Below are 27,853 nucleotides of genomic sequence, written 5' to 3'. Positions count from 1 at the left end.
ATAGAAAGTGTGTCTCCCTAAAAAGAGACATTTCAGGATACTGAAGTGTGATGGTTTATTTTTATGTATCTACTGAAATCTCTTTCCCTTCCCTGGAAACATTTTTCTTACTTTCCAGGTTAATGAGTAATTTCTCTCTTTCTAGGGAGGAGGGTGAGCAGATTGCTAAAAGCCCATAAAAGCTTAAAGTTTCGTAATTTGGGGTTTCCTCTCCTGGAATGCAACCCCGCTGCATGCCGAAGTAAACATCTTGTACTCATAATGTTGCCCTAAGGGGGACTGGGGTGTAGAAATAAGATGCTAAGATATTACTCTGACTACTGCTTTTGCTATGAGTAACAAACCGTCTGTGTCTCTGGCCTAGGGTTTTGTGTTCTTCTATCAGTACATGCATATTAAGAAAACAAAAAGCTAACTTGCTAGCTTGCAAGGGGAGTTTTGTCAGATCCTCCACAATCTCAGAACTAACATGGAGATTTTACTGTAATCATGTTAAAGTTTCCAGTGGTGTATATTGGATTCCTATATCAAGACTTTAGTTCTAAGTCAGAGGGCCAACACAGTCCAGAAAAATTTGGAGGATATTTCCAGTCAACATAAGTGGGACCTATTAAAATTTAGAGTTATCTACTCTGGGGAGAGAAATATACAGCTCTACAGCAGTCTTTACAATGTCCCCAAACTCCAAATATACCTGTTAGTAACCTGCGTTACTGTCTAAGCCTAGTTATTTTTCATCAGTCATCATTGTGACTTTGCTTTCAAAGATCAGACACAAGTAGGATACAATATCTGATTGTATTTTCCCATAGGAGAAAGAGTTTGCGTTTAACTTTGTATTTAAACTGAGGAAGCTGATTTATACTCTAATGTTTTAAAACCTTCTTTGGATTTTAAACATATACATTCTTGATGCTTTGACAGGGACCAAGTTTTTACTTTTTCTGAAAGTGGCATATACAGATAATTTAACAATGGACTTCTACCCAGATGTACCATCACTATCTTCTTTTAAGTAAAGCAAAAAAAAAAAAAAAAGTTTGAGCATTTCTTCATAGCAATTGGCAGGAAGATCAGAAGATCTGAAGCCTGCTATCTTGCAATTCTCTTACTGATACTACATCTTCCCAGGATTGTGAGGTCTCTTTTCACAGATTTTTTTCTTGCCTGGTAGTGTTGACTTCAAGGCCTAGCCCTCTTTGAGAGGAACTCCTTTACTAGGTGTACCACCCCTCCTATCATGTACCAAAAAGCATTAAATTAGTCCCTCACTCTCATTCTTAGCCAGAGAAGCATATAATTCCAGTACATGGTACCATATTGTCCATTTCTGGAACTTAACTCCTCTAGTCTAGGATTCCACAGGCTAAATACAACATGTTAGTTTCATGAATCTGCCTGCAGCAAAAACTTCTCCATAGTTTTAGGGAAATAGGTAGATCATAGGGAAATACTTGAAAAATTCTATCAATGTAAGTATATTTTGAAATGTAGGTAAAATTGACTGTAGTTCTGACAATAATATAACAACATTTATGTTTATATTATTAACAATTGAATAGTGTCCATGGGGTAAAATATTCAATACATTATTTATGCCATTCTGTTTTTGTGTGATAGACAACTCTAACAAAGTAACTGTTTTAATGCCAACCTGAGACACAGAATCAGATAGTGTTTCTGCTACACCCTAGTGGGTTATTTTTTCTTAGGTACTAAACACATGCTAAGCAAGATATAGAACTTTGAATTAGATTTTGATCAATGACCTCATGCTAACTTTCGTTCTGTTTGTTTTGCTAGTGGGAAACTAATAAGTGAAGTTTCAGATCTCTTATGCATTTTGAGGGTATTTAAAAAAACAATAAGATAATTGTTACAGAAAGAATAGCTTCATATCTTGTTTCTTAACGTCAATGCTCTGTATGCCTAGGATTATTAGATATCTCCTAGAAAACTCTGATCTTTTGTGAAAGAAGAGCACAATTTATTTCTAAGAACAAAACCATTGAATATCTTTCTTTTTAGAAAAGTAAAATAATCTTAAATTGCCTTAAATTTTAGGTGATATTATCTGGACTAGAACACAAAGATAAAGAATGTCATCATGTCCTTTATATCATTCATCAACACATAGTTTGATATTAATTAAATAAAAGATTCATAATAAACAATAAGATAATAAAATAGAAATATCATTTTATTTGTCTTAATTATTATGTTTATGCACGTGCCTTAAATGTCTAGAAACATTCAACCTGTCTTCAATAATAAAGGTCAATGAGATATTCAATTACTTTTAAGCTATCAAGATTGCCTAATGAAATAAGGGGATGATTTTGCTCTTTTTTTTAACAACTCACTAGAGTGTCTGCAAGTTGGTAAATTGTTCCAAATTTACGAAAGTCGAATACTTTATCAGTACTGCAGAGAACCTAATTACCATGTTTATTAATATGCCTGTAAAAAAATTAATTCATACTGTTCCAATCCCCCAAGGGAGCCAGGGCATAACTTTCCTTGTCAATAGGACTGTGGATTCCTTTCTTCTCAGTGGCAGGAGAGTGGGAAAGGGCCCCTCCCTTCCAGTAACCGGCCTTGGTGTGACAGCCATGGTGTGGAAACAGACACCAGAGACATAGCAGAAAAAGTTAAGTGGGCTGAATATACTGACATGCTAGCTCCTAAAAGATGCTTCTCTGTATGGCTGAATGCATGACATTCTTTTGAAGTTTCATTAAGACTCTAGGAACCAACCTTCATGCTTCAATGTTCTCTTGACCCATTTCTTCTGAAGAGTCACAAAGTTCAAGGCAGAATAGAACAGGTTCTCAGTATTTCTTTCATAGCCTCTTTTTTTTTTTTAATGAAGCATATAGTAGTTCTGAGATTTTTCTCTACTCACACACATATTTCCCTGATGCCTTCATTTTATAATAAGGGTAGTACTTGGGAAGATGTATGTGGTACAGGATTGTCTTCTGACATTTCTCTTCTTTCCTAAACCTCACTTGCTCCTATAAGGTGTAGTCTGCATACTCAGCAGTCTATGTGTGATGATGCAAAGCAAATGCCCTGCTAGTAGCTGCCTGAGGGTGCAGGTTCAGATGGGAAGATACGCTTCTCCTTCGAGTATTATAAAAATTAATTTTATAAAATGTTTCTATTAGCTTGTAAACTGAAACCAAACCAAACCAAATATCTATATATAGATATATAATATCCATATATATGTGGGCTAAATAGAGCCCACAGGGCTATCAACTTATGATCTCTGCTAGAGAAAGGGACAAAGGCACACAAAAGATGATACCGCCTGGTTTATGTCTATAACATAAATGAATCCAGAGTCATCTATTTTGTAATGTATACTGAGAGGTATAAAGATTTCACATATGTTGGGGAATCATATTTCTTTATTTCTCTAAATGTAATTTGACTTCCTATTTCTCCATTAGTCAAACTCTTAGTTCATCATCCCATTCTTAAGAGTTTGTTTACTTCTTTGCAAACTGATCAAGAAATCACAGAATTAATAATATTTTTTAAAGAACTTGACCTAATTTCCATTGCCAAGTGCAAAAAAAAAAAAAAAGTGGCATCTCCCCTCTGCCACTGCTATCAGTACTATTGATCCTCACTGCCATAAGATGCCTGCCAGGAGTAGGATCCAGAACATCCACTCTGAGTTGACCCCTCTAAAACCTACTTTGGCCCCCACATCAGTGGTGCAACTTATGATCTCCCGTGCTGTTTTTTCTTCTGGCTTAGTTTCCACACTATTTGGGAGGAATCTTGATTGATAAATTTGCTCTGCTCACCTGATTCATAGTAAACTCAATCAACATTGTCATATTAAGTGAAGAGATCTAATGCTGCTCCCTCCCCCTGCCTTCTTTCTTCAAGTTTTCATCCTTCTATTTGAAGTATGGGGCAGATTAATTGGTCTACTGCTTAAGGAGAAATTAAACCAGAAACTGAAATGTCCATTTCCCTTTTTCCTGCCCCTTCAGTCTATAAGAATGATTCCCTCAAAAGACTCTTCAAATGGCTCTGAGTGAAAAAAACATGCCTCTACTCTTCCTTATTCAGGGAGCAAAGGGAAAAGTCACAGCATTCTCAAACAGACTGACAGTTTCCAATTCTATAGATCCCTTCCTCCCAATTCCAATTGTTTGCTTATAGCTTACATAGTCTGGTTTAGAAGTTAATAAACTTCTTCAGTGATGTTTACAGGGGACAAGTTTTTTTTTTTTCCCAATCCTTAATCAACCCCAAAGGGAGTTTTCTAATTACTATTTGCTGTTATTCTCTACTTGCTGTCTTTTTTTTGTTTAATAAGCTAAGTTTTGAACAGCAGTTCCTTCCAAGTTCTGGGATATTAGGAAATTTTTTGCTCAAATTTGCACATTTGTATGAAGTAGGAAAAATCCCAAAGACAAAAAGGCTATGAGATTCTGGGGAAATTCCAGAAATAATCTGAACACAGAGGGCTCATGAAGTACCCTTATGCTAGCATGACATGCAAAAAACATGGACAGCATACCAAGGTAGGAAGAGTAAAAACACTTTTATCCTGTGTAAATGATTCTTGGAGGAGAGAAATAAAGAAGAACGAGGAAGAGCAGGAAAAAAGGGAAGAAGAGAAAGAACAACAAAGGAAGAGGAAGAAGAGGGCAAAAGTTCTTCTGACTTGCAGAATGGAACACAGGAGAAGACAGCCAGGTGTTCTGACATTAAGCAGCAGAGCAAGAGTTCAGGTTCCCCGATGAGAAATAAACTATCACCTCTGGTGGGCTGAGGACATGACTTCTCTGCTCTTTGGGGTAGGGCTCATAACCGCCCAGATTTCCTTAGGCATCAACAGACATCTGCTGATGAAAGCATGCTGTAGGAGAGACATGACTGTCAGCACGTTCTGCTCCCTCACACCCTCTCTCTTCCCCTTTGCCATCGTCCTTGGGACACGGGTTTAAGAAAGAGGACAGCAGTGATCAGCCCTTGGGAACTCAATAGGTCTTGAATGTGACAACTCTTCTCTGTTCTCACTTCTGAGACTGTCTAAGACCCTGTATAAGCAATTTGGAAGGCAACTGAAGTGCTGGCAGCAGCAGTGATGGTGGTGGTGAGGGGTTGGTGTGGGATGCTTAAAGGAGGGCGATTTGAAATGAATAGCATGTGAGAGCCTACTATTGAATTCTACTCACAAAATACACAAGATTTGTAAGGAAAAATTAGCTGAAACTATTTTATGAAGGGACTAGAGCACGTGGAAGCTCAAATAGTACGTTTCTGCAGCAGCGTCAATGTCTGGGGTAAATACCTGGGGTTCGTCGTCTCACGCCAAGAAAATTTAGGACATTGGACACACACAGGGAGTTTAGGAGTGGAGGCTTAATAGGCAGAAGAAAAATAAAGGAGAATAGTTCTCTCTCTCTCTCTCTCTCTAGTGAGAGAGAGGGGCTTCCAAAAGCAGATCAGCTGGCCGGGAGTTTGCTGGATTTTATAGGCAGGCTTGAGGAGGTGGTGTCTGTTTTACCTAGGGCCCACAGATTGGTTCAATGAGCTGTGACATTTACATAGCACGTGCCAGAGAAGGCTGACCACCCCAACCTGATCTTATTATGCAGATGGGCTTTCCACTTGACCTGCACCATCTTGTCTGCTCCTTACTCTACACGTGGCTGTCAAAGAGAAGGGAAGGTGGAGCCGCCAGTTTGAACATGCCTAGTCCCAGGTAGCTCTGTCCTGCCGGCATTCACCTATGCAAGCTTTCAGCCTGCTTGTGTGTGTCTGCAGCTCGATTCTACAGGTTGCTCCTTGTTAGAAAATGATTTGGGGGCTGCTTTTCATTAAAAAGAAAACCTTACCAAAGACTCCCGTACCCTCACTATCTGCTTAAGTATTTTCTTCTTAACTCCTCTGTCATTTCTGCATCTGTTTGGGCCTCATACATTAAAGTTCCGATTGTGCAAACACAGTTTCCGATTTGCGACTGTAGTTCACATCTCATGCAGTGAGAATCCTGTGAGAAAAATCTCTCTTCTTTTCTCTCAAGCATATTCACAGATGTATTCCCTTCAACCTTGACCCAATCACAATGCCCCTGGATGGAGGAGTCCTGAATTTAAGTAGAGGGAAGTTTTTAGTTATTCCTCGTCATAGAGCCATAAGAAAATAGGAAAGATCGTTCCTCTTTCTCCTCCTCCTCCCCCTCTTCCTCCTGCTCCTCCTCCTTCTCCTTCTTCTTCTTCACTTTTCTTTTTTTGTTTTGCATTCTGATTTGTTGCACATTTGTCTTAGTTAAGTATTAACATCCTGTTCAGTTTTCCAAGTTGTTGTTCTTTTCACTAGCGCCAGATTTCTACCTTGAAGAGACATTGCAGAAATGGTGGAGCAGATCAGTTAGGAGCAAACCGACAGCAGAAGGCCTGTGTGGCATAGGACATGGACAGGGGATACAGCGCTGGTTTGAGGTGGAAAGGAGGACTCAGAGAAAGATTGAGGTGTCACTGGCTGTAAAGGCCACTGAGCCATACCTGAGTGATCTCTGAGGTTCAGTCGTAGGTAAAGTTGCACAATTCAAAGTAAATATAGTGAATCACGGCTGAGGCAGTCATAGAGCAGCAATGATCCCAGTAGAGTGGGAAATATAACCATCCCAGGGGACTGCAGCAAGGAGAAGGTCAAAGGGTGCCAAGGCTGTAGGGAAGGCTGACTCAAAAGGTTTGCCCGTGTTGTTAACAGCTGTGAACTTGTTGATAAAAGATCAGCAAATGCACAAGGAGAAGGGAATTTACTGACATTGTATAACAACCTCTGAATTAATGTTACTTTCTATTATAAAGAAAAAATGTTTTATTTGAAATTAAAATTTCCTTTCAGGGGGCCTTACAAAGGAACATAGTTGAAGGCCATTTTATTTTAGCTGAGAACCTACATAGCTCTTGGATATGCAAAATAAGGCCTTGGAGCTGAGTTTGGGAATAGCAAACAGAAGGAGCTGAACGCTCTGCTTAGTGGAGTGAGAGGAATTCGAGTTCCTGGAAGCAAAACCAGGGTGAAGAGGGGAGGAGGAACAAACACAGACTAGCCTACAAGGCCTGAGTGCCTTGAGAGGAGAGAGGCAGAATGGGGTGGGGGCGGGGCAAGAGATTGGGGATGGAAAAATGACCCACGTGGCTCAGCAAATTTAGCAGAAGCTATAACTAGAGCCATATACAAAAAAGCTTTGGATTTTCCCTATGTTGTCTAACAACCTTAGAGTGACCTAACCTCCATCTTGTAGTCAGGAGGCTTCCAGATAATTAAGCATGTCAAAATAATTGTGACCAGAATGTCTTTCCCAGATTTCAGGTATTTTCAGGAATGCTGAGTGGCAGGAAGAAAACATATGATTATCTCAAAATAAGGTAGGAAACAAATTATATGAAAGCTTTAAGCAAGAACAAACTAATGAAGGTATTTATCTGAATAGTCATTTAAACTGTGAATCCTCTGAGAGACTGCATTTTATTCAGTTTCGTTATTTCAGTGACTGTTACAGTGCACATAATAAATGTTCAATAAATGCTTGTTACATAAAGAAATTAATAAAAGGAGGGAGAAAGAAAAGCAGGAAACGGAGCAAATCTCAGATTGTCATTGGTTAGGAGTAACCTAAGAACACAGAGAATATGCTTAATGAAACTCAGTGTCTTTGCCATGGCCCTTTCATCTGGAACGTGGTCTTTTCCAACATGCGCTCACACACACAGTCTCACAACCACACAGCCTTGTTCCCTTACCTGCTACAAGCTTATCTGCCATTAACACTTTATTTAAACGTGTGACTCTCCCCTAAACTCAATTTGGCTTTTCCTATGTCATTTCCTATTTTATTTTGCTGCATGACCTGCATACCATCTAGTCCGTTATATATTTTATGCAGATTTATATTCGTCACCACGCTTTGATATGTAAGCTCCAGGATGTCAGGAACTTCTATCTGTTTTGCTGAAGGATATACCCCCAGCAACAAAAGAGGGCCTGGTCCGTAGTAGGTACTTTTGTAGGAATGCATATATGAATGAATGAAGGTTTATATAGGAATCATGAAACCTACCATTTGAGAAATAGAAATAATTTTTTCCAGCTGGACTGCAAGAGGCATGCACACTGAAGAAGTTTTAAAAAAAGAAAAACCCATTACCAGATATGAATTAAAGCCTGTCTGCTTTTATGTATTCAAAACCCCAACCAACACAGAACAGTAGTCAGAAGCTGGACCTAATTTCAAGGAAGGAAATTAGAAGCTTATTTTCTGTCTTTGCTTTGCTTTTGAGTGTGTCTTCTGATAGAAGCCAAATGCTGTCCGTCAGCCTGTTACAGCATGTGCTCTCATGTACGGCCACACTTTTCATTGCTGTCCCCCTGAGTTAAACCGCTCTTTTCTGCTGCCTTGCTGTCTAGGGCTTGAGATAAAAATGTTCAGTTGCTGCTGCCATGCTGCCTGTCTCCTGTGTTTAAATGTGTCCATATCACGGTGTTTGCATCTGACTACGTCTTGGCAGCTTCCAAATAAGACTTAGAGAAACCAAGCCACTGCTGGGATGATGACTAATCATTTTGCAGAACAGCGTGAGTCAAACAAAGGTATAGCTCATATGGTTCTCAGTTTTCCTTCTGAGACATACCACCACAGAACAGAGAGAGGATTGATTACGAGCAAGTACCATCACGGACACAGCTGTAACTGGTCGACAGATGCAGCCTTATTATAATATGCATTCCACAAGCATATGGAATTGGGTGAAATTAAACTAAAAAATAAAGAGATTGAGCCCTCCGTCAAATAAGAGGTGTGTAGAAGCCAAAAAATCCTCCCTGTTTGTTGTTTTCTACCTTTCCAAACTGTAGCAGATGTTGTCAATTCTATAAAATTAGAAAAAAATGCAAATGTCCACTAAATCCTGAGTGGGGATTAATGCAAAACTGCAGAAACATTGAAATTCAAAATACCCAGTAAGTTATGTTTATTAATATCATCCACATATGCCTTTTTTTGGTCTTTAGGGTGCTCTTTGATGTAACGCCAAATGGATCTACAAAGGATGTGGAGCAGTATGTGTGATCCTTTTATTCATTGAAAAGGAAAGGGCAGCACGAGGTAAATGTTGGTTGCCATTAGCTTGTAAGCTTTATCCCAGGAAAAGTTTAGGGCAGCATGAATTATCATAGGATGTGCCCTTTTTTGGATTATCTATTGCTACCATTTACCTAAAACACTCTCCAACCAGCATGGTTACCTTTTTCTTTGTAATATTTTAAAATTCAATTGCATTTAGGACATTTTCTCATCTTTTCTACCATATCTCTTTTTCTGTATGCCTTCCTAAAGTTTATAAAGTTAGAGGACAAAAATAAAAAGTTGTCATAAGGGGCCATTTTTCAATATTTGCTGTGAGTGGAATTATTTAATATACGATGGTGAGAAACCATCGTATATTAAAATAAACATTTAGGGCATGTATCTTGGCTAGAATATTTGAATAATGTTCTGTACTGACAATGTTCAATAAATATTATCACTCAGAAAATAAAAGCAGCAAAAATTTGGTGGTACAGTTTTAATGTTTAAATTTAGAAGAAAATATCGAAGGCCAGAAATCATCTAATATCTGCTTCCCTATCAATAAGAACCAATGTAAACTAAATATTGCAATCTTGTTATAAAAATGTGGTTTCCTTTACTGACTATTGAGGGAACACATTATGGCAAGCAATCTTAATTTAAAAAGTCAAAATTTGAAAACAGCAGTAATGCCAATTTCACATTGCATTTGAAGGATAAATATCAAACCCTGTCGATAAATTTGTGCTTAGAAAAACTGTTTTTGCAGGTTTTCTCTTCTAAAAGATCTACCCTTATCATTTAAAAATAGGAGCGCAGTCTTATCTTTCAGTCCTGCCTTTCCAGTGCCCTCTACTGGGCACTATAGTTGATAAATATGTGTATCTACTCCTCCAGGTTCGCCTCTGATTTTATTTCTAAATCATAGAATAAAGGGGAGGGCTGAAAGAAATTTGAGAATTCCATCCCTGCTTTCTACTAGGGTCATAACCAAGCCACCTGAGAGATATGAAATCTCTTCTGTTTTTCAAGATTGTTAAAAAAGAAAAGTGACTCAAACCTATTTTGCTTGGTATTTTCACCCAACTGGCCTATACCTTAGCTGCCTTAGTGAGTGTTTAGGATGACTTAAATTACTGCACCTGCCACAGGTGCCTTCTGGGTGCTGTAATATATAACACTGCCTTTTATTCTTTAAACACAAAAGATGTGGCTTTCATTCTTGGCTGATGGAAGTGATCAGTACAACATAAAAATTGCAAGTGAGTTTATCTCTGTTTCTTTGCTAGCTGTAGTAATGGGTGCATATGCACTATAGAGATGACATTATTTCTATCTGTTTTAAATATTTTTTCTTAGTAAATGTCTATAAAAGAATACATTCACAAGCAAGTAACCATGGAGGCCTTCTAATGAAATTTATTTTGCTGCATTTTAGTGAAAAGGACAAAATATCCTGTATTATTAGACTGGAATTCAGTATAAAATATCCATTAATAATTAGCATTTGTGCATAATACAGGCTTTGTTAGTTTTGGTGTGTGCAATTAATCTGTAAAATATTTTTAGCAAGATTTAAAACAAAATAATGCAAAAGCCCTGGATAAAGAGACTCTACTAGCTTTTCCTCTTATTTTTTCCCTCCTTTGGTTATCAATTTTCTAATTGAAAAATTATAGAGGATGACATTTAGTACATTTAAGAGCTATTTTGACTGAGTTTTTACTCCCTGAATGTTAAACACATATGAATATTTACAACATATCAGAGCATGGCACACCTATTCTTTCCTTTCTGTTTTGGAAATTTGCTTAGGCTGCTCAGCTGTCCCTTCTCTATGGCCACATAATAGAAACATCATTACCTCCAGCAACCTTCCAGTGGGTTAGTAGCATAACATTCCTGATGGATAGAACATGTTTCTGGTTTTTGAAGTTACTCGAATGTTTCTAACAGTTGCAGCTAATCAACTGCTGCACTGATTAATTAAAAAGTGCCCCAGCAGTCATTATAAAATATCAATATACAGTAGCTAAAATAGTCTTAAAGAGGCCAATAAGGATTATTCCATATTTCTGTAGTCATATTTTGATTGAAAGTGTATAGAATGTTTGTATATATTATAAATACTATTGTTCTGTGTAGCTATTTTTGACAAATAAATATTCTATTGCAAAATGAAAATAACCCAGAGGAAAAGTACAAGGACTTTAATTTTAACTTAAAAAAAAATCAAACCTTCTTCAAAGCTAACAGAAGACCGACATGCTGATCATATCTTTCAGAATCTCTTGAAGTGTAAATTTAGTCAGAGTGCCAAACATAGAAAGTTGATCTCAACCAAATCTTCAAATGGACAAAACATTCTCTTGGACTCAGCAAGGACTGAGCCAGCTGCCAGTTGATATGTGGGCAGAGAGAAGTTAAGTGCCTGATTCTGGGGGCATTCAGCCTCTATGCTTCAAGGTAGCATAGTCTCAACATCAGATTCTGCATTAGAGCTTTGAATATATGTTAGGAGAAAAAAAAACCTGTTCAATTTCGGAAATTACTCTAGCTTGCAATATTTTTGACCATCTAGTTATGTTCATACATTTTGTGATAATATATGGGAATATGTATTAAGCTGGAACCTTTGTCACCCAACTACTGGGTCCAGAATTGTAATTTTTAACAATTTTGTTGCATTAGGCTACCAACCACTGTTTACTAACTGCATGTGGAACTAAAAATTGCTGATGAAAGCTTTGTAATATAATGGAAAAGGTGTTGGATTGGAAATCAAGAGAGCTATTTTTTTTTCTATTGCTTTCACTACATGTTACAGTGGCCTTGGAGCAAGGTGTCTTGTTTTACTTTTTAAATAACACTTTTTACAAATACTGACTTCTGCAGGGTGGAGTGGCTCATGCCTGTAATCCTAGCACTTTGGGAGGCTGAGGCGGGCAGATCACTTGAAGCCCGGAGTTTGAGACCAGCCTGGCCAACATGGTGAAACGCTGTCTCTACTAAAGATACAAAAATTAGCTGGGTGTGGTGGGGGGGCACCTGTAATCCCAGCTACTTGGGAGGCTGTGGCAGAAGAATTGCTTGAATCTGGGAGGTGAAGGTTGCAGTGAGCCCAGATCGCACCATTGCACTCCAGCCTAAGCAAAAAAACCCAAATCAAACCAAACCAAACCAAACAAAAAAACCTGACTTTTTTTTTTTTTATCTATCATAAGTATTGGTTGAACTAAGGAGATTAGGTCTTCTGCAGCTATAAATTTTCATAAGCCAGACTTGTGTACCAAAACACTTTATCAACATCTCTGCCTAGAAATCCTAACAGATTTCAAGGATAACATGCTAACATGTTCAAAAACAAAGTTCTGACTTTCCTCTACACTCTTCTCAGTCTTCTTAATTTCAGAAAATAGTAATTATTTAGATTCCAAATCCTGAAGTCTTTTTAAGTTTCCTTTATTCTTTATACCCCACATCCAATTTATCAGCAAAATCTGTTGGCTCTACCTTCAAAATGATGCCAATAGTGGCCACTTCTCTTTGTCTCCAGTATTTATGCTCTGGTCCATCCATTATCTTTAGACTTTACTATTTCCATAGTATACTGGTATGGTTGAATTGCATTCTTCCAAAAAGATATATGGAAGCCCCAATCCCTAGTGTCTCAGAATGTGACCTTATTTAGAAATTTTGCCTTTGCAGTCAAATTAGGATGAGGTCCTTTGGGTAGGCTCTAATCCAGTATGACTGGTGTCCTTATAAAAAGGGAAACTTTGGATGCAGAGACAGAAGAGCACACAGAGAGAATGCCATGAGAAGATGAAAATAGAAATCAGAGTGATGCATCTATGCCTAAGATTGTCTGCAAACCACCAGAAAGCTAGGCGAGAGGCATAGAAGAGAGTCTCCCTCAGAGCTGTCAGAAGGATCCGACTCTGCCAACACCTTGGTCTCAGACATCTAGCCTCCAGGAGTTTGCAACAACAAATTTCTCTTGTTTAAGCCACTCAGACTGTGGTACGTTGAAGAAAACTAGTGCATATGTTAAGTGGTCTTTCTGCTTTCCACTCCTCCACTATGGCCTATTCCCCACACAGCAGTTGGAAACATATATATACACACATATACATATATATGTGTGTATATATATAAAATAAAGGACTGCATTCTCTCCTTTTTATTCTCCCAGTGGGAAAGAAGAACTGTCATTAATGGCAAGTGGCAGTTGAAGCAACACCAAGAGCTGGCTTCACATTTAGGAAAGAATGCTGTGCCTTCTCGTCCTCGTCGTGGTTTCTGGTGCTCTACACATTCAGAGAAACTTCTCTTGTAACAAACTATAGAAATGATTCCTGAAAGTATAGCCTTTAGAAACAAGTATTTTTTAAAGTACCAGTAAAATTGTATTGCCTCTTTATTAAAAATCCTCCCATAGTTCCCCATGTGCACCTGATCTACAATTCTATTCTTTCTACCATTTCTTCTATGACCTGTCCCCTAAAATCAGTCTGCTCCAACCAGAGTTCCTGGCATATAATAAGTGCCTAATTAGTATTTGTGAACTGATAGAATAATTAAATTTTAAATCAGCAAAACTATTTTTGAAGTTTTTTTAAAAGATTAATAATGGAGAGAATAAGACCAAGTGCATAAGTGTTGATTAAACCGAAATGACCTTGCAAAATTTCATTCATTCATTCAACACACCTCGTTAATACATGCTGTTAGCCAAGTGCTGTTCTAGGCACTTGACTTTCAAATGTGGAGAGGCTGTAGCTCCTATACATCTGGCATAGGTGAAGGAGCAACTACAATACATGAAGGTAAATCTTACCATAGAGGTGAGAACAAAGTTCTATGGTACCACAAATGAGGGAGCAATTACTTCTGTCCAAAGCAGTTATGGGGGGTTTCCTAAAAAAGGAGACAGTTAAGCCAGGCAATCAGGCAATCTTAGAAGTTTGGTGGTGGTGGTAGGAGTGTTAATGGATAGGTGACACATAGGAAGGTGAACATTTCAAGGTGCTGACATAGCATGTGCAAACACATGGCAGAATCATGCATCTAGAAAAGGTGCCATTTGTTAGGCAAAGCTGTGTGTCCCTGGCTCACTATTTCACTGCTCAGCAGCCAACCAGCTGCAGAATCCTATAGGAACACTGGAATCTCCGATCTTAGAAATAGGAAATCATAGGCGCCTTCTGCATTTAAGAAAATCCCTGACTCTCTTTATTTAAATGTTCCACAAGCCAATAAAACAAAAAGCCAACAAAGTGGGAGTGGACTCTAACTCTGTCTTCACTTTAGCAGCAGAGCGGTATATCCAGCTGGATCCTGCTGCTAGATGATTCTATGTGACTGAATCCTAGCCCCCTCTCCCAGCAGGAGACAACCAGGAATGGAGTCTGGCCTCATCATGAGAGATCTGATATATTTTCATATTTCAGTGTTTTTTCTTCTATTTGTGTAACCCTAAATGTTTTACAACATTAATATTTTGTTGCCCCATTTCTTATGCTGCAAGCACATGAGGCAGACATGCAAAGAGAACCCACGTCTTTTGATGGTCTGTTTACTACCCCTTGTGAGGTTTGGGGTTTTAAAATATCAATTTCTTGCCGATATTTCATGTAATGCTAACTGTCACAACTGCTCTGTCTAGCCCAGCAAAATTGGCTTTAATATGCTAAAGAAATTAGAGAATTGTATTGCTTCTGGGTTCTAATCCTAGCTCTATAATTAATCATTGTATGTCATAAACCAAGGCATTTAACCTTTCTATTAGTACCCACATCTATCTGACAACCAGCTTGGACTGTAACAGTTGCTAAGATTTATTATTCCCTGATCCTAGGAAGAAAAAAAAAGTGAATTGGAAACAGCTTACAATCACCATCAGTAGTTACTTGAAAGACATTGAGATTTCTTTTTTGTTTGTTTTGTTAGTTTGTTTTCAATATTGACTTTTCAGATGTGTGAATCCTCATGCTTCCTTGATCCATGTGTCTATAACTTAGCAACCAAGCAGTTATGGTTTGAATGCTGAATTTAAAGAATTTATTATTTTTCATATAGAGTTAATGGTGTGTGTGTGTGTGTGTGTGTGTGTGTGTGTGTGTGTGTGTGTGTTGTATTTATCCACCTAATCTTCTCAGGCAGGGGTTATTTAAATTCCTAGAGGCTGCTTTACAAAAACTCAGAGTAGGTTTGCTCTTTCATCGTAACTACTACGAGCTATGTGGTGTGAGCATGACTTAAATGGGTAGTTGGTTTTCATTTCACATCATTGCTACATTTATTTGCTTTTATAGATCTTAGAAAGTATTAATAAAAAATCCGTTGTGCATGAAACACCATTTTTTTTCTGTGCCTGAAATGATACGTAATATTGACTAAACAACCCACTTTTATTTCCTTGACGGAATCTTGTGCCTGTGGATCCCATTTTGATCCCAAAAAGTCTTACATCACAAATGCTGGAGCAAATGTTAGTTCCCTCGTAATATACTACTGCTTCACTTCCCTGTGGTACATATAGCTACATTCAAGGTTTAGCATAACTTAGGAAATATTTCTATGGGAAGTATGCACAACAGATCTTCCTAGCAAAATAGAAGCTATTTTAAGAGAGAGATATTAAATAGATCAGGAAAAAGTAGGGTAAAAGAATATGTGTAGAAAGTCAATTTTTTTAAAAAAAGACATTCTTATTAATTTTTTTGGTGTTACCATCTGTCATAATGTATATAGTAGTGACATACAATTTATATTTTAGGATATAAGAAGTAATTTCTTTAAAAAATCAGTGAGTAAAGATTTTAAATGATACTTTTAAAAATCTTGCCTAATTACTAAGCTCACGGTGATATCAAGGAAAAGTATTTGTTCAGTATATTAAGAAATTAAACTTTAAATAAGCTAATTTGATGATATTTCTGTGTATGTTGTACTTACCTTCACATGATCTGGTAGTTACATTAAAGCCAGTTTACATGATTTTAGGCCATTTATCTGCTTTATTTCCTTTTAAAAAAATCTATACAACTCCATCCTATCCCTCATAATATTAATTTCCCTGGTTTCTGTTCATGTTTCAAATATATTTCCAAAAGAATATGATTCAGATAAGTATTTAAAGGAAACATATCATCACATTGAGCCAGGTGTTATAGCTATATGTGAAGGGATTAAGCAGCTTAAAATATGTTGTTACAGATCCTGGATTCTCCCCTCCTTCTTGACAACCAAGGTCATGTTTTCCTGGCTGCAACTGTGGGGAATGTTTTTAAGCAGTTTTGCAGACTCAGTCCTGCACACCTCAATTAATGTATCCTTGTGGGGTAGGGGAAGAGGACCTCTTTGTAATGATGTGTATCTTACAACACACTAAATTTTTATAATCATGCAAAACAGAGCTGCATTTATATGCAGCTGCTGATGACAAAAATACCTCTGAGAGCAGGTTATTTTTATTTCCACTTGGTTGAAAATAAGCAGAAACAAATCTTCGCACAATTAGGATGACAGGACATGTTCTGCTCTTCATCTCAAGTTCCTCTTCTGCTGCCACACCCACCTGATGGCTATGCTCTGCCATCTCCTGCTTCAGGGATCTGCGCCCTCCTGTTTCCTATTCCTATTTCACAAAGTACTGACATCCATTGGGGCACTTTTGCATTAATTGACTTATTGCCCTTTATATGAAAGAATTTCAAGTATTCTTCTAGGCCAGCCTTAGCATCTTCAGCCTTCCATTCCTAATTATGAAATAAATGTTATAAATTCATGAGCAGGTGGCTCACTGCATTGTTCAGATACCTGAAATCACAAAATAGTCAGTTCTGCTACAATGCTTGCTTTGAGAACATGAATTTGTTTCAGTGTAATTGAGATATTTGGGAACAATTTAAGCATAATGCAAATTTCACATTTGCTTCTGTGGGAATTCCTCTGCCGGAAACACTAGGAGAACTCAAAAAACTGCACCCAGCTGAACCCATCTGCATAAGAATATGAAAATTCAGACGTCACCCATCTCAAACATCCCCCAGCTACCTCAGTTCACTATGTGCGCTGTGAGCCACATCTGGCGTTACAAATTTCATCTGATTCTGAGAATCCACCTTCTACCATCTCACAGTAACTTAAAGTTGCTATTCTTATATTGCTTAATTTTGAAATAAGAAAATTTCAGGTCTTTCTTAAAATTGTATTTTATTGTAGAATTTATGTATTAATAAACCATTTAATATATATAAAACTGTGCATATTTATTAAGTTCTTATCTTTTTAATGTATGACTGATGAAGTTTTTGTGTTGCGTGTCTGGTTTTTGCTGCACAGTTTTGCATAGCATGATAACTTTCAGGAGTGTATATGCAGCATTACAGCAAAACTGACAGTATGAAACTGCCTCCACTGCCAAGATTGCTGTAGTGGGGATATCTAACAATACCTTGTTTGGGCCTATTTTGAGAACTTCTTATCCTTGACTCTTCTTCACATCAACTCTCAGTCACCACTCAAAGACCAGTTTTCTTTTATACACCTGAGAACAGTTACGAAATATCTGATCATTGCATTATTCTAGAGGGTTTGGCTTTTATTAGAAATGCAAGAGGTACTCTTGAAGAATTTTAAGCTGGAGAATGGCCGAGATAATAACAGGAATCAAACCCATGCTGGAGAGGACTTTGCATAAAAGTTTCTATCAGGACGCTCTGATTGTGACTCAAAAGCCTGTGAGCTCCTAGAGGACAGAAATTGTCCAATCATCTCAGAAGCCTCTATGCTGGGCATCCTGCCTGACCTGGAATGGCTCAAAGTGTTTACTGAACTGAATTCCAACAGTACAAATGAGGATTAGTCCTCAAAATGGTTACCAAGAGGCACTGAAAAGTCTTAATAATGATGCAGATAATCAAGTTCTCCACTTAGACAAGGAATTCTTCCCTTAGATTTTAGAAAATAATTGTTTAATAGTGAGAATTAAAACAAAAATGATTTTTCATTTATCTTAACTAAATCTTATGCTTTTTGAGCTCCTGCTTTTTGCTTAATAATATTTGGGCACAGTGCCTTTCCCATCAGGACATGATTGATAATCATTCAATTCATCAAAAAACCAGTTAATCAGAACATTCATTTCTTCATAAGTATTGTATTTAAGTGTCTGTTGTGTATAATTTAATGTTTCACACAGTTTGGCTATTTTAATTTCTTAAAAGACTTTTGGAATTTTTACAGAATCCTCTAGAGATGAAAATATGAAAAATCTTTCAGTCTTTTGCAATGCTATTGCATTCTTATGCAATAATAATGCAATATCATTGCCTTCTCATGTAATATTTATACACTTAAAGCTAAAAAAGATAATGAACATCAGAAGTAAAACAATAGTGACTATGAAATCATGAGTATGGCTTACTCTAAATGTGATCTCTGCTGAGTGACTCTGACTTCCTTTCAATTAAGTGCATATTACAGCTCCCCAGGTGGGTAGCCATCTGCTCCTCATGGAAGGTAATGCCACCCAAGCTCTCGGCTCTCTTCCCTGCCAATTAGTCCCCTATATGCATTTTATATGAATGTTGCAGAGCCTTAGATAGGTGTGAAACTTTGAAGCTTCTATACTTTTGATGAAATCTGATTTAAGCATACACTGTCAAAGGAATGAAAAGAATAAATATCAATATGGCAATGGAATTTCTATAAACACTACACAATTTTGTTCCTCACATGGTTATCTGAATTTAAAATGAAATTCTTCCAGGCTTAAAATAGATAAGTCGCTTAATAATAGATTTGTTTTTAGTAATAATGTCACTCCCTGCTTCTCATTGGAATTCAAATATGACAGTTTTTCCTTACATGATTTAAATACATGTAACTGGCCACGATCCTGTGGTGCACATTGACCCCTCTGTATGTTCCACATGTTTTCCAGTTATTTTAAGTGTGTTGTTTTTGACCCCAAGCAATTTTTATTGCCTTATAGCACTATTCTGTGTGGAAAAAAATAAAATCAAACTGGAGTTATTTAGGCCAAATGATACAGTGGGTTTCTAGGAAGCCTGAGGCAGATTGTCCGTTTTGAATTTAGAAGAAGCCACTGGAGAGTGACAGTTCCAAAAAAAAAAAAAAAAAAAAAACACAAACACACGAAAACCTCTGTTGTGAAATATTAGGCTTGGGAAACAGAATTAGGGAAAGCTCAGATTAATGCATTAACATACTATTATGCACCCCTAAATAGAGATCCTAGGAATAGGCTGCCACCTACTATATTAACTCTAGTTCCTACCTGAAAGTTCAGTTGTTTCATTGAATAGATAACCTCAATTAAAAGTGCAATCCTATTAAATAATCATCTATCCCCTTAGTAAATGAGGACTGAAGTGGTAAGCTGTATTTATACTGTGAAAGTTAAGCAAAGTCCCTTATTAGTAACTGTTTTTATTTTAATTTCTCAGAACAGTTATTTTGGGTTACATTTATAAGTATAGACTAAGCTGGTGTCACAGAGACCCAAAATAGTAGTGGTTCAAGTAAAACAATAAAATGTTATATCTCTTGCATGTGAAAATCCACAGGTAGGGAAGAGGTCCAGGGCAAATAGGCAGTTCTAATCCATGAAGTCATCCAAGCATCAGATTCATTTCCCTCCACCATTCCAGAGTAGGTTTTCCTTGTCTGTATGGTTGAAGTTGGCCATTATTACAAAATCTCTGTGTTTCTATCATTAAGGAGAAAGTAAGAAGATGGAGCACAATTTCCTTTTTAAGCTGTGTGATCCAGGAATTACACACACAATTTCCCATACCTACTTGCAAGAAAGTTTGAGAAATATAATCTCTAGCTGGACAAATGTTTGTTCAACTAAACTCAAGCATTCTATTATTCAAAGGAAGAAAGGGAGAATAGATATCAAGGAAATCTTGCTCCACCTACTAACTAGCTGTTTACTTATTTATGTTTTTACTAATTTAATAATAAAATTATTTCCAGAGGTATAATAAGGAAGCTTTTTGAATAAATTGTACCAGGTTTCTTCCACTTAAAATCATTCCATGGTGCACTGTATTGCATCAGTACAAACTCCTAACATCACTTATAAGGCCCTGTAGGCTCTGGCTCTTGACTCTGACTCCAACAACAATTTAAACATGCTTCTACTGGCTTCCTATTTTCCAACTACATTGATCTACTTTCCGTTTTGTGGACATCCCAGCTATTTCCATCTCTCCATTTTTGCTCTTGTTATCCCTTCTTTTATAAATGTTCTTCCCAGAATTCTATGTATAATTAATTAGTTCCTTGTTTCCCTTCAGTGCAGCTCATGTATCACTTCTTAAGATGTCCTTTCACTATTCTATCTGGCTTCCCCAAATTTCTTCGCCATTTTTTAATCTACTTCAGAGAAATTTATACTTTCAATTGTTTTGTTAATGTATTTTTAATTCATTTACTGCCTGATTTCCCCTCAGGAATATAAGCTCTGGGAAGACACAGACCTCATTTGTTTTGTTATCTCAGATAAACTGATTCCTGGAATGTGGTTACTAGAACATAGTAGATGCTCAAGAAATATTTTGGGAATGAGAAAATGAATATATAATTATAAATATGTAATGTGCATATATGTAATATTTGCAGTATCTTTTGGAACACTGTATTGTCAAATTAGTGTTTGTCATTGTCTTAACACTGTATAAAGGATGGAAAAGGTAATGTAAAGAGTTGATGTACAGTTCATCATCACTTTCTTCATCTGAGATATAAGCAGCCTCCTGACCATAGTATTATGGATAAGTAGAGTATGGCATTCTATTTTTTGTTAATCTTGTGTTACCAATGTATTTTCATTTGCTTTATATCATAGCCATAGAACTGTATTTACTAAACCCTGAAAAAGCATTCTGAAATAGAACCAAATATTTGTTGACCTGCAAACAAAAGACAAATAGTATATTGATCAGAACTAAATAGTTACTCTGGACTCATACTAAATAACATTCACATGATAAAAGCAACAAAACAGTTTAGAAGAGAAATGTAACAACAACAGGTCTCAAAATCATAGAAGTAAAATAAATCACATGTTTTCAATATATATTTACATATATAGTTGTAGTTTATAATACAATTTTATAAAAGGGACTATATTACGTTTTGTTCCTCTTCCCCTAAATAGCCATGTGAAATGATGCAATATAGTGAAACTGAACATTTATTTCCTCTGTTGCTTCTCTTTTAAAATAATGTAGTTGATTTGAGTTCTTTGTACATTTCACCTTGAAGAAAGGGATAATCGTATGGTGACACAAATGGTCCCTAGGACTTCTCAGAACCAGTAGACTAAACCACAGAAAAAGTAGCAGACATTTTTCTAACATGTATACAGTTCATCCATTTGATTTGAAAAGTGATAAGCTTCAGAAGATTTTCTTTGATTCATTTCTAAGTTGGCCAAATCATGGTAGAATTGCAGAATCAACATTAAATAGAGCTTTGTGGAACCATCTCCAATGCAGTATATTTTGTATTAAATAAGTTTACAAGTAAAAGCCCTGGGATAAATAAAGAAAGGAATCTCTGTGAATCCTGCAATAATCACAGTGATTCCCCTGAAGCGCAATGGTGATTATATTAAAAACAAGAATTATACATTGTTGCTATGTTAATATTAAGCCAATTTCATAAAAATAACAAAGAAAATATTCTTTCTTATATGCTAACAGATGTGGGCATAAAATCTTACTTTATAACTATCTCAAAGTAGATTCAAATAAGAAAATGCTTTCAACATTTAACTGTTACTTTCCTCTATTATAATACGCACCTGAATTCATATGAAGCATTCAAAAATTGTTATACCTATCATTGTCATTAGAGAGACCTCTTTACATATCAAGTGAGTAAATATTGGCTGTGTGGAAGAGTCTATTGACTCAGAGTGCCTACCATATCCACAGCCATTTTCTGACAAAAGCAACCACGAGCTATTCTTTGAGCATAAATTAATGTGCTTTTTGTTCTGTCCCCTGAGAAAGAAAAGAAACTTTTTATCTGAGGAATGCAGCCCCCTTTAAATTATCAGGCCCAGAGAGGCATAGGAATGAGGTAGGAGTCACATCCCACTAACCCTCTTGAGCTGAGTAATCATCCTCTTGAAGCCACCTGCTGCATGGACTTTAGACTGAATATTGCCACAATACTCATAAATTAACCTAATGATGTCATATGCTGGGCATCATAACTTACACGCTGTGGTTCAACAACGTCTAGCCAATTATTAATCAGTGTTATAGATCTTTAAACCAATGAGAATTCCTGAAAAACAACGTTTGTAATCCCCCCTCTCCTGATTTGTCCTTTTTTCTTTAAAAGCTCCAGTCTCTCTTTTGTTCTCCAGAGCACTTCTCAAGGTAACTTGGAAGTGTTCCCCAAGCAGCTGTCCTAACGTTACTTGGCTTAAGTAAACTCTTTAAAATCATATTTTGTGCCTCAGCTTCTTCTTTCAGATTTTTACCCCTAAAACCTTGGCTGTAGCTGATTGGCTGTGATCATACATTTTTCCTCACTGAGAGCTTTAGTTGTGAAAACACAAAACCACACAAAGGGAAGTTAGTATAAAAAAAGTTGTAGCAGACAAATTGAAGCTGAGGAATTGAGTAAGAGTGAGATTCAGTGTGAAAAAAATGAGGCGGAGAATCAAGATGGTGGATTATTATAGAAGCAGCTAGTGTGCGTGGCTCTCAGGGAGAAGAAATGAAATAGTAAACATTGACCCTGCCAGCCGACCATCTAAGAAACCATTTCATTTCGAGACCCATCAAGGGAGTGAGGGGACACAGACAACAGGGAAATGCAAAGTTGGGCTGCAACCCATCGGGGATTGGCCAGCTCCACATAGGGGAAATGCTAAGTGAGAGCCCCCAGGGGATCCACACTTCCCAAAGGGAGCTGTGCATGCCTGGGAACAGGAGAATCTCCCTAGCTCCAGGGGCCTCTAGACTGACATAGAGAGCAGTCGGAGTTTTTGCGGAGGCAACACTCAAGACCACAGGGACCTACACGGGCCTTGGACACTGTGCAGCCAGGCACCAGCTGCCATAGCCCCAATAGAGGCCACAGTCATGATGTCCAGGAGCAGTAAGATTGCTCCAGTCTGCCTCACCAGCTTGAGCCAGCTTCCAGCACAATGGTCTCACTTCTGCCAGTGCCGGTCCTTGTTCCCCCAGGAAGCACCCGAATGGCAGAGCCAGGCGACTCCACCCATCCTCCGCCGTACATGACCCAGCAGATTACACTTGCTGGAGCTTTCAGCACAGCGGACCTGATTCCGCCGGAACTTTGTGGGCAGGAGTGTCGCTAGATTAGCTGACTCCATCCACCTCTGCTGCTCCTAGCCTGTTACAACACACTGGCTCGGGTGGCGCCCAAGCAAGGGGAGAGCCCTCACTCTCAGAACACTGAGAGGGGTGAGGTGCCCACGTTCATGGGCCTGCAAGGGAGCGAAGCATTCCTCCCTTTGCAGGGCCAGGCCAGAAGGGTATAAATGACTACCAACTGTGGCCCCTGACTGAGGGAGCCCTGCAGACCAGAACAACCAACAAAAGAAACATGGATGTAGAGCCAGTGACTAGAGGGTGTTCTTCCAATGCTCAGGAGTGGACCAAGTGAAGGGTTATTTCTTTCTCCCCACGACACAGAACACGACTGTGAACTTGCCAAAATACAACAGAACCATGCGACTAACAGCCTATCTGCAGGCCACAAATCTCAAACGCTACCAACTGTATCGCAGTCCAAAATACAACACCAAAATATTTTACCAGTATACAGCACCTGTGAAAACTAAGGCAAAATTCCAGCCACAAATAAAGATTCAGCAGAGTGTTGGCCCACTGAAAACACCCAGAAAAGAATCCAATTGACTATATTCAACTTACATCACAGTTAAAGGAATACCAGCCCTCATGTATGGGAAATAATCAGTGCAAGAACTCTGGCAATTCAAAAAGCCAGTGTGTCTCCTTATCTCCAAACAACACACTAATTCCCCAGAAATGGTTCTTAACCAGATTGAGATGACTGAAATAATAGACATACACTTCAGAGTCTAGAGGGCAAGGAAGCTCACTGAGATCCAGGAGAAAGTTGAAATGCAAACCAAGAAATGCAAAACAAACAAACAAATAAACAAACAAAAACAGTAAAGTGATCCAGGACCTGAAAGATGAAATAGCCATTTTGAGAAAGAACCGAACTGAATTTCTGGAACTGAAGAATTTACTTCAAGAATTTCATAATGCAATTAAAAGCATTAACAGCAGGATAGATCAAGCTAAGGCAAAAAATCTCAAACCTCGAATACCAGTTCTTTAAACCAGCTCAGTAAGATAAAAATAAAAAATAATTTTTAAAAATAAGCAAAAGCTTCGAGAAATGTGGGATTGTGTAAAGAGATGAAATATGCAAATTATTGGCATTCCTGAAAGAAAGAGAGAGAACAAGCAACTTGGAAAATATAGTTGAGGATATAGTCCATGAAACTTTCCCCAATTTTGTTAGAGAAGAGGACATACAAAATCAAGAGATACAGAGAACCCCTGTGAGATACTACATAATGTGTCCATCCCCAAGGCATAGTCGTCATATTTGCCAAGTTCAACACAGAGGAAAAAATCTTAAAGGCAGCTAGAAACAAAGGTAAGATTACCTACAAATGAAACCCCATCAGGCTAGCGGCAGACCTCTCAGCAGTAACCTTGAGAATCAGAAGAGATTGGGGATCTATTTCCAGCATTTTTTGTTTGTTTGTTTTTGAGACAGAGTCTCGCTCTGTCGCCCAGGTTGGAGTGCAGTGGTGCGATCTCTGCTCACTGGAACCTCCGCCTCCCGGGTTGAAGCGATTCTCCTGCCTTAGCCTCTTGAGTAACTGAGACTACAGGCACATGCCACCTCACCTGGCTGATTTTTTGTATTTTTAGTAGAGACGGGGTTTCACCGTGTTAGGATGGTCTCGGTCTCCTGACCTCGTGATCCGCCCGCCTCTGCCTCCCAAAGTGCTGGGATTACAGGTGTGAGCCACTACGCCTGGCCTATTTTCAGCATTTTTAAAGAAAAGAAATTCCAACCAAGAATCTCATATCCCACCAAACTAAGCTTCATAAGCAAATGAGAAGTAAAATATTTCTCCGATAAGCAAGCACTAAAGGAATTCACTGACACCAGATCAGCCTTACAAGAGGTCCTTAAGGGAGTGCTAAACGTGGAAACGAAAGATCGAAACCTGCAACAACAGAAACACACTCAAACATATAGTCTTCAGACAGTATAAAGCAATTACACAATTAAGTTTACAAAACAAACAGCCAACAACACAAAGAGGATCAAAATCTCATATATCAATACTAACCCTGAATGCAACTGGTCTAACCACTTCACTTAAAAGGCATAAAGTGGTAAGCCAGAAAAAAACAAAACGAAACAAAAAAAACACACATCTCTCTGCTGACTTCAAAAGGCATATCTCACATGTAAATATCTCACATGTAAAGACACTCGCAGGCTCAAAGTAAAGAGATGAAGAATAATCTGTCCTATGAATGGGAAACAGAGAAGAGCAGGAGTCATTCTTACATCAGGTAAAACAGACTTTAAACCAACAACAATCGGGAAGGACAAAGAAGGGCATTATATAATGATAAAGGGTTGAATTCAACAAGAAGATTTAACTATCCTAAATATATACACACCCAACACTAGAACACCCAGATTTATAAAGCAAGTTCTTGACTATACAAAGACTTAGACAGACACATGTTAATAGTGGGGGATGTCAACACCCCAATGACAGCATTAGATTATTGAGGCAGAAAATTAACAAAGAAATTCTGGACTTAAACTCAAAACTTGATTAATTTGACCTGATAGACATCTACATAATCCTCCACCCAACAGCCACAGACTATATTAGATTTATGCAAAAGCAAATGTGGTTTTTCCCATTACTTTCAATGGCAAAAGCCGCAATTACCTTTGCACCAACCTAATATAGTCTTCTCATCTGCACATGAAATGTATTCTAAGATCAACCACATGCTTGGCCATAAAACAAGTCTCAGTGAATTCAAAATAAGAGAAAAAGCAAAACATTATTCAAAAACAGCAACACAAATTAACAAAATCTTTGAGATAAAATTAAAACTGTGTTAAGTGGAAAGTTTATAAGAATTAATGCCTTCATCGCATCTAGAGGAACTAGAAAAAAAAAAGAGCAGCCCAACCCCAAATCTATAGATAGAAGGAAAGAAATAACTAAAATCAAAGAACTGAACAAAATCAAGACCCAACAGTTCATACAATGAAACCAAGATTTGCTTCTTCAAAAAATTAACAACACTGATAGATCACTAGCTAGATTAACAAAGAAAAATAAAAGAAAACATTCAAATAAGCACAATCAGAAATAACAAACATGACATCACAACCATTCCCACAGAAATAAAAAAAAATCTCAGAGACTGGTATTAACACCTCTACTTACACAAATTAGAAACTCTAGAGGAAATCAGTGTATTCCTGGAAACAAAGGACTTCTTAAGATTGAACCAGGAGAAAAGTGAAAACCTGAACAGACCAATAACAAGTTCAGAAATTAAATCAGTAATTGAAAAAAAAAACAATACCAACCAAAGGCAACCCTGGTCCATATGAATTCACAGCTGAATTTCACCACATGTACAAAGAAAAACTAATACGAATCCTATTGAAACTATTCCAAAAAATAAGGGAGTAGGGGCTCCTCCCTAAATTACTCTATGAAGCCAACATCACCCTGGTACCAAAATCTGGCAAAAATACAATGAAAAAAGGAAACTTCAAGCCAATATCCCTGATAAACATAGATATAAAAATCCTTGACAAAATATTAGCAAACCAAATTCAGCAGCACATCAAAAAGTTAATTCGCCACAATCAAGCAGGCTTTAATCCTGGGGTGTAGGACTGCTTCAACATGCCCAAATTAATAAATGGGATTCCCCACATAAACAGATTTAAAAAAAGACCATATGGTCATCACAATAGATGTAGAGAAAAACACCTTTGATATAATCCGACATGCTTTCATGATAAAAACTCTCAACAGACTGGCTATCAAACAAGCATACTTCAAAATAACAAGAGCCATCTATGGAAAACATATAGATGAATGAGCAAAAGCTGGAACGTTCTCCTTGAGAACTGGAACAAGATAAGGATGCTCACTTTCACCACTTGTATTCAACATAGTACTGGAAGTGCTAGCCAGAGAAAGCAGGCAAGAAAATGAAATAAAAGACATTCAAATATAAAAAGAAGTCAAGCTCACTGATGATATGATTCTACACCTAGAAAATCTGAAAAGACTCTGCCAAAAGGCCCCTGGAACTGATAAACTATTTCACTAAAGTTTCAAGATACAAAATCAATATACAAAAATCAGTAGCATTTTTATACACCAATAGTGTCCAAGCTTAGAGCTGAATCAAGAATGCAATCCCATTTACAATAGCCACAAAAATAGTAAAATACCTAGGAATATATCTAACCAAGGAAGGGAAATATCTCTACATGGAGAACTACAAAACGCTCCTTAAAGAAATCATAAATGACACAAACAAATGGAAAAGTATTCCATGCTTATAAATGGAAAAAATCCGTATTATTAAAATGGCCATACTGCCT

General features: G+C 37.5%; 1 non-coding gene across 1 annotated transcript; it reads right to left on the bottom strand.

Annotated features, from left to right (window-relative positions):
- Window positions 1-13,275: 13,275 nt before the first annotated feature.
- LOC124901505 (small nucleolar RNA U3) lies at window positions 13,276-13,486 on the bottom strand. Its single transcript, XR_007059936.1, has one exon. It is a non-coding gene; the product is annotated as a small nucleolar RNA U3 (small nucleolar RNA).
- Window positions 13,487-27,853: the final 14,367 nt, after the last annotated feature.

The sequence above is a fragment of the Homo sapiens genome, chromosome 6 (genome assembly GCF_000001405.40).
Source record: "Homo sapiens chromosome 6, GRCh38.p14 Primary Assembly".
In the NCBI taxonomy this organism is placed as follows: domain Eukaryota; kingdom Metazoa; phylum Chordata; class Mammalia; order Primates; family Hominidae; genus Homo; species Homo sapiens.
This window is presented reverse-complemented; position numbering and strand designations above follow the sequence as displayed.